General features: G+C 44.5%; 1 long non-coding RNA gene across 1 annotated transcript in view; it reads right to left on the bottom strand.

The window, feature by feature from the left end:
* Window positions 1-1,812: 1,812 nt before the first annotated feature.
* The window catches only part of LOC105378780 (uncharacterized), a 28,350-nt gene continuing 19,708 nt past the window's right edge, over window positions 1,813-10,454 (bottom strand). Inside the window, exon 4 of the long non-coding RNA XR_947474.4 lies at window positions 1,813-1,962. This is a non-coding gene — a long non-coding RNA (uncharacterized LOC105378780). The remainder of the gene's footprint in view (window positions 1,963-10,454) is intronic.

Genomic DNA, 10,454 nt, shown 5'->3' with positions numbered 1-10,454 from the left:
GCAGATCTCATAGAGATCTTTGATTATTATTAGCGCTACCACTTTTTCATCAGACACCTCACTCTCAACCCAGCTTAGAGTCATGATTCTTTCTTACAACCACTGCCCTGCAAACTCTGTCCAACAACCTCACATGTCAAGCTCCAGCTTTCCAGCTATCATGCTTGCACCCAAGCAGCTGCATGTTTTTGCAGAATCCACTGATCATGATGATGGGATTCCTTTGACATATATGGACACAAATCTCAAGCCACTGATGGACAAACACTTTCTCAGTATCTCCACTTCCAAAACTCTTCACACCCTCTGTCTTCTCAAACTTCCTGTATCTTCTCTCCTTTCCTCACTTGCAGCTGATGGCCTTCACCTGCAGTTCACTGAGAAAAAGAGAAACAACCACCTAGAAACCACCTCATCTTCTTAGTAACAAAACTTCCAACTTAACTGGCCTGTGCCCACATGCTGGGCCTTTCCTCCTGTTTCTACAGAGGGCACATCCCTGTTCCCCTCTCAGGCCAGCTCGTTTCTCCCATCTTGCCTTCCCCTGGAGAGCACTTCTCTAAGAGTCTCCTCTCTGTCCTGCAGCACTGTTTTCCTTTCTACTGATTCACTCCACTTCCACTTGCCCTCCCTCTCCCTCCACAGAGGGTCAAGAATCCAAAGCCGATGATTTTCCCGTGGAATTGTGTGGGAACTTGTCAGATCTGCTGCAGAAAAAAAGATACCCAAGGATAGATGATCTACATAATCCCTCCCAACTCTGAGCATCTATAGCTTCTGCCTTTATTCTCATGGGCCAATAGTAGTTAGAGTTAGACATTCCTTCATCTTCCTCTACTTTTTTTTTTTTTTTTTTTTTTTTGAGACGGAGTGTCGCTCCATCACCAGGCTGGAGTGCAATAGTGGGATTTCGGCTCAGGCTTGATAGCAGAGGCTTGAACCTCCGCCTCCCGGGTTCAAGCAATTCTCCTGCCTCAGCCTCTCGAGTAGCTGAGACAACAGGCGTGCGCCACCATGCCTGGCTAACTTTTGTATTTTTAGTAGAGATGGGGTTTCGCCATGTTGACCAGGCTGATCTCAAACTCCTGACTTCAGGTGGTCCACCCGCCTCTGCCTTCCAAAGTGCTGGGATTACAGGTGTGAGCCACCATGCCCAGCCCATCTCCCTTCACTTCTGAGTGGAGGTCCCACTCACTTGGCCATGGCATTATGGTGAGGTAGTTTGCTGTGATGCTCATTAATGTGAAAGCCAGCTGGGTTTGGCCACCACTCCTACACTGTCTTGGGTGAGTGTGGGCAAGTTCTTTTATCTCCTGAGCCTTCATTTCCTTTATCTATAAAATAGGGATAATAATAAGATTTACCCTCATAGATGGTAAGGATGGAAAAGGTTAAAACACATAGCGTGCCTATCTTCATGCCCATAGAACCAGAAAAATATTAAGAGATGCCTCCCCTAAGTGGTGGTTAAAGTTATTATTCCCTCCTGTGAGCCCCTGGGTGAACAGTGCATTGTTTAAGGACCTAGGGCAGTTGTGTTTGTGCAGAATTCACTTCCTACCATGAGGCCTGTTGGATTTGTAATGGGCAGATTAGAATTTGTGAAAGTATGCAAGAGCCAGGATGTGAGAGGGCTGGATCCCTGGGCAGAACACATAATGAGGCAAACAAGTTATGCTGTTCCTGTTTTTGAGTTGCAGGGAAAGACCAAGGGCTATTTTTAGCTTGGAAGGTTTGGGTTCTGGGAGGGCGCTGCAGCCGTGTTTGTCACATTACGTTTTAACATAATACAGAGTCACCCCACTAAAGGGATCTGTTTCAGGTTGTTTTTATTAATCCAAGTGCCTTTTTTTCAAATTGAGATGTCCAGACTTAATGGGCAGCAAGCAAACAGTACCCAAGAAGCAGATTTAACCTAATAAAAAATAAATCCTTTGTTCTGTCAAGTTTCCATGAGGTATCCTAAAAACAGGAAAAAAAAAGTCATAAATATAGCATTGCCTTCACTTGAGTAAGTTGTTCTTTAGGGAAAAAATATTTTGTGATTATACTATTGTGTGTCTCACAAAAATAAACATTGGAAGTGTATGTTGTGGTTTAAGAATGAAGGCGAGACCTTCCCAAGGAAATTTTTTGAGCCATTTCAGGTGCAGGCAGATGTCTATCTGTCTTCTAAGATGACAACAAGCACAAAACTGTGGGGGAGGGGGCGCCTGGGGCAGTGGGAGATAATTACAGCAGGTACAGATAATTTGGGCTTGGCAGGTTAAAAACAAAATGTTGGGATTTTTATTCCGTTAGGATGGAACAAACAATGTCCTCCAAAATCAGACCCAACACATTCACTCAAGAAACCTTAGTTGAGCGCCTAGGACAGCCTGCTACTAGAGATACAAAAGGGAACAGATAGGATTGGTCCTTGCCTTAAGAGAGCTCATGGCTCAACAGAGAAGATAGATAAGAAAACAGTGTGACGGAAGCTCTGACCCAAGACATATCCTACTAGACCAACTCGACAACTTCCTAACTGCTTAATAATCCTAAACTTCAATTGCTTCATCTCTGACATAAGGCTAAGAATTCCTATTAAAGATCGTAGGTTAAACATGTGCCATGGGCTCAAAACAAACAAAACCCTCCTTTGTCCTCTTTCTTACGCTCCAAAATGAAAAGATTCCAAGAAAGAAGAAAGCATGGGACCCAGAAGTAAGGCACTCCAACCTAGGAGAGAGGCCCAGGGAAGGCCCAAGACAATGGTGCAGAGATCCTGGGGTGACAGCCGAGCACCCAGCATAGGGGCCACCTGTCTAGACCCAAGCTAGTTAGAAGGCCCCCAGAGAGATTGCCTCAAAAAGTTGAAATTGATAGAATACCAAATATATGTGGAAATGTTGGGAAAGTATTTCTGTCACAGTGGACAGGTTTGAGGCTTACTTAGAGATAAGTACACAGAAAATGAAGCCACTTTATTTATTTATTTATTTTTCTGAGACAGGGTCTTGTTCTGTTGCCCAGGCTGGAGTGTGGTGGCAAGATCACAGCCCACCGCAGCCTTGAATTCCTGGGCTCAAGGTATCCTCCCACCTCAACTTCTTGAATAGCCAGGACTACAGGTGCGCACCACCATGTCTGGCTAGTTTTTGTTGTTGTCGTATGCTGCCCAGGCTAGTCTGGAACTCCTGGACTCAAGCAGTCCCCCCACCGAAGTGCTGGGATTAGAGGCATGAGCCAAACTTTAAAAATAAGAAAATAATTCCAAAGAAAACAAGCAAAATAATGTGTGAGAAAAGTAACAAGTCTAGCGTACTAGATGACCAGCTATAAAAATACTGCTCTGGCTGAAATCGAGTTACATCTATATTAGATAGAAGAGGGGGAAAGCGTATTTGTATGTTGCACATGGTGCAGGCCGCTGATGGCAGAGCTAAATCCTCATCTTTCATGGTGCAAAGCCAAAAGATAATGCCTAAACTGAGAAATCTCAAAGTAGCAATATAAGCATGATACGAGGTGAATAACAAAATGAATCAGCAAAAATATTGGAGGTGGTTGTCTCTGGACCATGGGAAACTGCGCTGCGGAGATTTGGGGAAGCTGTGGGGAACGGGGAAGTAATCACTGACATTTGAACCAAAGTATGTAGAACTTTTTGGCTCTTTAACTACATGCACATATAATTTAGATGATCATAGCACCGAATTTGAAATAATAGCTATAAAAGAACACGGAGTGCTGGAATTCTTGCTGTGTTTATTAACAAACATAAAAGTCATGTGCACATCACATGAAAACTTTCTGAGAAAGAATTGCTATCACATGGTCTACCCAGGTTGGCCAGCCCTTCATATTATTTCTCAGATCTGCAAAGTCGGCTTGTTGATAAAACATCATCTGCTTGAAAGGGAGTGGGGATAATAACAGTGTCTACCCCCATAGGGTAATTGAGAGGGTTGAATTAGAAAAGGCACTTAGCCAGTGCTCTATGAATATTGGCAAGTTGTCCTGTTACCCTTCTCTGTTATAATCATAGATTGCTTTATCTCCAGGAGCAAGGAAAAAGGGCTTGCTCTCTTTACTTCTGTTTATTCCATCATACGGGATGGATGGCTGGAATGTTAGATGTGATAGTGAGCCATCTGGGACCGTAGTGGCAAGGCCACTCCCAAAGGATGGTGAAACTGGAGAAAAAAGGAGAAATGACCTCCCAAATAGTCCCCAACCTCCAGTCTGTTTTATGAGAAAGAAACACACTTCTGTTTTGCTTAAACCCCAGGCGGCTATCTTATGTCTAATACCCCTCTTAATTTTATTAATAGCAGTAGTAGTACCACTAGTCTCAGCAATTATTTATGGTTTGCTGAGAAGGGAAACTTGTGTCAGAGTCGGGGGACTGAAATCCTGACACCTGTGCAAGAATGAAGGAATTGTTAGGCATCTGGCAAAGGGACAGGCAAGAATGTTCTGGACAGAGAGAACAGCATGAATAACAGTGCTGACAATAAAAAAGACACATAGTATTTAGGAAAGAAAAAAAAAATTGAGAATGGGGCCGGGTGGGGTGGCTCATGCCTGTAATCCTAACACGTTGAAATGACAAGGAAGGAGGATTGTTTGAGGCCAGGCGTTCAAGACCAGCATGGGCAACATATTGAGACCCCTTGTCTACAAAAAAAAACTTGAAAATCAGCCAGGTGTGGTTGTGTGCACCTGTAGTCCCAGTTACTCAGCAGGCTAAGGCTGAAGGATCCTTTGAGTCCAGATGTTGAAGGCGGCAATGAGCTATGATTCCACCACTGCATTCCAGCCTAAGCAACAGGGTGAGACCCCATCTCTTAAAAAAATTTTTTTTAAAGAAGATAAGGACGAAGTGGAAGAGGGAAGTTGCAAGAAGTGAGATGGATGAAGTAAGCAATGTTAAGGCCTCATAAACCATGTTGAGGAGTTTTGACTTTCACTCAGGGGCCTTGGGGAACCACTGAAGAAAAGATGCTGTGATTCAATTTTTAATTAAATGTTATTTGTAGTATGGAGAATAGATTGGAAATTAGAAAGAATGCAGGCAAGGTTACTAGTAAGGAAGCTGTGTAGGTAACCTAAGCAAGAAATAAAAGGGGCCTGGACAATGGTAAGAGTAGGAGGATGGAGACAAAAGGACAGAATTGGATGGATTCAGATGACAGGAGGTGGAATCGACCAATTCAGCCTGAAGTTAGAGAGAGAAATGGGCATTGAGAATCAGGCCTATGTTTCTGGCCATTACCCTGGAAGGGTGACTGTGCCACTCATGGGAACAGGAAACGAGGGAGGAGGAATGGGTCTGGGTGGAGTGGGGAAGATGTGCAGCTGAGTTTCAGACACACTCCGTAGGAGGAGCCTGCAAAGCATCCAAATGCTGAAGTTCAGGAAGCAACTGGATATTTGAGCACGAGTCTAAGGCCGTCTCTGGCTTTGTACTCAGTACAGAATTGGTCTTTCCGAAGCATTTTTCAAAAGTGAATCAGGCATACTTCTGAGTAGCCACATTCAGTTGGTGATAGGGGAATCACCATGTTATAGCAGAGGAAATTTAGGCCCAGAAAGGTCCAAACCTGCACTCAGGAATATTAGAGGACTAATCCTTTATTCTGTTCAAAAACAAAAATCTAGACCATACATTTAAACACAATATACAACCCTAGATCTTTGCAAAACCGCTGCTCTGAACCATCAGTCAGTCTTCTCATTAAGTCAATCATTTATTCATGAAACAATAACTGAGGACCTATCTGTGCTTTGTGCAGCTCTAGGAGTTGCAAAGCTATAAGGCAAACAAGATGAAGTCCTGCTTTGATGATTTTTTTGAAGAGGCTATTCTAATTGGGGAATATGGAAAGTAAGCAAACAACTACCACCACCACCCAGAGAATGTCAGGTAGTGAACAGTAAGCTCCACAATGAAAATAAAGTAAGGTGAGTATGATTGAAAGTGGCAGGGAAGATACTTTCAACTGGATGATCAAGAAAGCACTCTCTGAGGATGTGAACAAATAGCAAGAAAAGCCAACCGTGTAAAAAATCTAGGAAAAGAATATTCCAAGAGGAGAGACCTGTCAGTGCAAAGGCCCAGGGTAAGCCTGAGCTTGGTGCAAAGGAGTGGAGTGGTCAGAGGCCAGTGCAGCCATGGTGGGGTGAGTAAGGGAAAGAATTACAGGAATTGGGATCATGGAGGTGGGTTGGGGTCTTGCATCCATCTTGAATGGATTTTATTCTATGTACAGTGGGGAGTCATTAGAGGGTTTTTAGCAGGAATGTGACCTTATGGAGTACTTATGCAACCAATCAATCTGCTGCTGTGCAAAGAGTATATACGGGGTGGGAAAGCAGGCAGGAGTGGGAGCAGGGATGAGAAACCCCACTTCCCTCCTTCTCTGGCTCTATGATCAGTCTTCACATCTTCCTGACGACCATGAGAGGTGGGAATTACTACACTCAGTTTTCAATAAGGATCTATTTTTATATCTGTCCACAAAGCCAAGCACAGTTTGGGGCATGTAGCTGTCCCTTTAATAATGTTTGATGCTTGATTAATAAGTTAAACAACCCATTGATTCCATTTATTCAAAGAATCAGACAAATTAAAAGGCCTAAAAACAAAGACTAGACATACCAGCTGTTTGCCGGCACTAGTCAGTTGCTTGAGCGAGAAGGCTTGTCAAGCTCAATCAACAGGGTGAAGCCAATAGCTGACAATGACACAGAGGTCCCCAAGTCTGCCATTGTTCTGGCTCACCAATATTAAGCTATGTCATCTTGGTGCCTCCAGGAGTCTGGAGGAAAACAAAAACATTTTTTTTTCAAACCTGCTGTTTTCTTTGGTTTGTCATCATCGAGCTGTCACAGGAGCACCCACAGGCTCAGATGTGGCTCCATGGAGCACCCTGGGCAGCCTGCTGTCCGTGCTCAGTCAGCTTCCTCCAAGGTTCACCAGTTAACAAAGGATCTTTGGGCTTTCGTCACAAACAGGGCCTGAATCACTGCAGAAGCCGGGAAAGGCATAGGCACACTCCCTATCCTTAGCGGTACAGCTCCTGAACCAGCAAGCCATCGATGCCAACCACTGGATGACTGCCATCCTGAGATGAAAAGTACAGTGCACCAGAGCTGCCTGCCCCACTCAGCCCCTCCTGGGGGAAATCCCCACTCAGCCCTTGGAGAAACAGGACAAAACTCCATGACCCAATGGTCTGGGAGCGAAGCCCTGACCTTGAAGAGTTCCCTACATAAAGTGGCCTTTAATTTGCTGCCTGGCATGAAAAGATGAATGAAGTCAAATTACTATCCTAGGTTTTAGAACCCAAAACAAGAGGCGCTGGAGTTGATGGTGGGCCCTGGGCTGAGAAGTGAGGCAGTAAAGGCAGAGCTCATAATTGTGGTAGGCTTCGTGCCAATGAGGATGCAAAGGAAGCTGGGGTGGGGCCAGAGAAGGAGGGAGGAGAAAGGTCTGGAACTGGGATGGACAATACAGTAGCCTCATGTACCTATTTTATTTAAATAACAATTTTAATTAATTGATTTAAGTTAATGTGTTTACATTTAAATTAATTTACTTAAATTATTAGAAATTTTTAACTCAGATCCTCTGTGCAGATATAGAATACTTCCATCATTGCAGATGGTTCTGTTGGACCGCGCTGGTCTAGAAGACACTCTAGGATGGAGAATAAAGAGTCTTAGTGCCAGGTTTTCAGTTCCTGATTCCAAATCACCTGAAACTCAACTTTATCTCCTGCCCCCTATCCTATGAGTTAATTTGTACCCTTACAATAATCTACCTCCCTGCCTTTACCATCACCACCTTTCTCTTGAGCTAGATTTTAGTTCTTATTTTAGCTCTTTATAATCAAAAGAAGCTTGGCTAATACATTGGTTGACTAATATGATATTAATAATAAATCAATAATTACCATTACAATTTATGGGATGCTTATGTGTATGGACAGCAAGTCTTCACCATTTTACATATATGTTCTTATTTAATCCTTTTAGAAACCTAATAGAGGCATTTTGTCTCCATTTGACAGCCAAGGGAATCAAGACACAGAGAGGTTAAGCAAGTTGTCTAAACTCACAGAGCTGATTGGTTGGAAATCCATCTTCCATCTTCAATGATTGATGCACAGGAAACTGGCCTGACTTTTAACCATAGAAGCAGGCTATGAAAAGTGATCACCTAAGGTCCCACTCTAGGACAGAGAAGGCAGGAAGTACAAGTCCAAAACTACAGAGATCTACGAATTATGGGACACCTTCTTAGGACAGCTGGTCTGGTTCCAATCATCTCTTTGCCTTGTACTTTTTTTCCCCTACTAAAGGACAGGAAGTTTGAGAAGTGACAAGGTCATGGGCACAGGCTGACCCTGCTAAGAAACAGCCCATTGGGAGCAAACTGCACGTCCTGTGAGCTCAAGGACCTGCCAGCAAAATCCCTGATGCTAGAACATTGGTTAGGAAACCTAAGTTATGTGCTGATTGGCATTGAAAGGCAAATTTGTGGGGCAGGATGGGATGGTGAGGGGGAGTCAGCACATGCTTCTCTGCTGAATTCCATTTCCCATTTGGTTTGGCTGCTTGTTTTTAATGAAATGAGGCCAATCCAAGAATTCCATGTCAACATGGCTCCTTTTACTGGAACCACAAAATCCAGCCCCCTGGGACCTGGCTCTATCTCTGGGCAGACATCAAAAACAACTCTTTTTTACTTAGAAACCAAAACAGTCTTCTAAGAGCTACCCACTTCCTCACCTTTCCTTTTCCCCTCTGAGGAAGAAAGTAAGGGCCAGAGTTTGTGGACTGCGGCACCCCTAGATTTATTATTGGCAGAGAAGGCCTCAGGGCTGGCCAGGCTGCGGGGGTTCTCCTGAGCCCAGCTGTTGGTTTTCCCTTTCTTGTGCTTCCAAGGCCTCATGGTTCCTTCCTGCCTGCTTTTCTCCCTTTTAGGACTGGTTTGATGAGTAGGCAGGGCCTTCTGCAACCCTTCATCACTCTACCACAGCTGCACTCACGCTGGGACTTCAGGGGGGTTGCTACTGCATCCAAACTCCTCTCTCAGCCAGGGAGTAAAGCCTGACACACATCCCTCAAAGCTGCTGCAGCTCTCCAGCACTCTTCTTTGGAGAGAGGAGCCACTTCTTAGCTGCTCCAACACCTGCAATCCCAGCAGTGGGTAGGGATGGGTGCGAGGATAGGAGGAAAGCAGGCATGTTTTAGGAAGGAGAATAGTGATTGGTGATTTGTGGACAATGAAGAGTGGATTCGTTGGCAAGTGGTATGCACTGGCGGGGCATATAGACAGCTGTGGGGTTTGCCGCATACAAGGTTCTCCCAGTGAGAGGGGAGGTGGGAGAAGGGCTGATTCATGCCCTGTCCCCCGGGGCATTGGATGACCTGGCTGCAGATCACCTTTCTCTAGAAAGGCTTCTGTGACTCCTGACCTACCCGAGCGTGGATACGGTCCTCATAACATCGTGCGTTTACCTCCTCTGTGGATCTTTACTTGTCTTCCTGACTACTCCTCTGTCTTCCTCACTTCTTTCTCCCATGGACCCAGCACCGTTGTGTGCACATAGTGGAGCTTAACAAACCTTGGTTGAGTGAATGAATGAATACTGGCTGCTCCTTGAAAAAAGAGCTCCTCCCGGAAGCACAGATGAGGGGGCAATGGGGCGATAGCTGCTCTAACAAGGTTAAGGCTCAAATCGAAGGACAGTGTAGTGGTTATGAGGTGCCTGGAGTGGGCATCTAGGCCCAATCGCTTATTAGCCGTATGCTTGGGCAAGCTGTGTAATCGATCTGTGCCTCAATTTCTTCATTTATAAAGTAGGGATGATAGGCTGGGTGTGGTGGCTCACGCCTGTAATCCCAGCACTTTAGGAGGCTGAGGTGGGCAGATCACAAGGTCAGGAGTTTGAGACCAGCCTGGGCAACATGGTGAAACCCTGTCTGTACTAAAAATACAAAAAAAAAAAAAAATTAGCCAGGTGTGATGATGCACGCCTGTAATCCCAGCTACTCAGGAGGCTGAGGCAGGAGAATTGCTTGAACCCGGGAGGTGGAGTTGGGGTGAGCTGAGATCATGCCACTGCACTCCAGCCTGGCCGACAGAGCTAGACTCCGTCTCAAAAAATAAATTAATTAATTTAAAAAAATAAAATAAAATAGGGATGATAATAATACCTATCTCATAATGTTTTTTGAAGAAATAAATGAGCTAATAAATCTAAAGTCCTTAAAACCTGATACATAGTAAGATTTCAATACATTTCAGCAAAACAAACAAACAAACAAACAAAAACAATGAACCCTAGGAGAGTTAGCTCTGTGCGCTGCTCTCATGGGCTGCTGACTTTTTCTCCCCATCACTGGATTCCTTCTGTGGCTCTGACACACCAGCCCATACTTGTCTCAGAGACTTTGTG

This window comes from Homo sapiens, chromosome 1 (assembly GCF_000001405.40).
Source record: "Homo sapiens chromosome 1, GRCh38.p14 Primary Assembly".
Classification (NCBI taxonomy): Eukaryota; Metazoa; Chordata; class Mammalia; order Primates; family Hominidae; genus Homo; species Homo sapiens.
The sequence above is the reverse complement of the archived record's forward strand: the minus strand, read 5'-3'. Positions and strand labels throughout refer to the sequence as shown.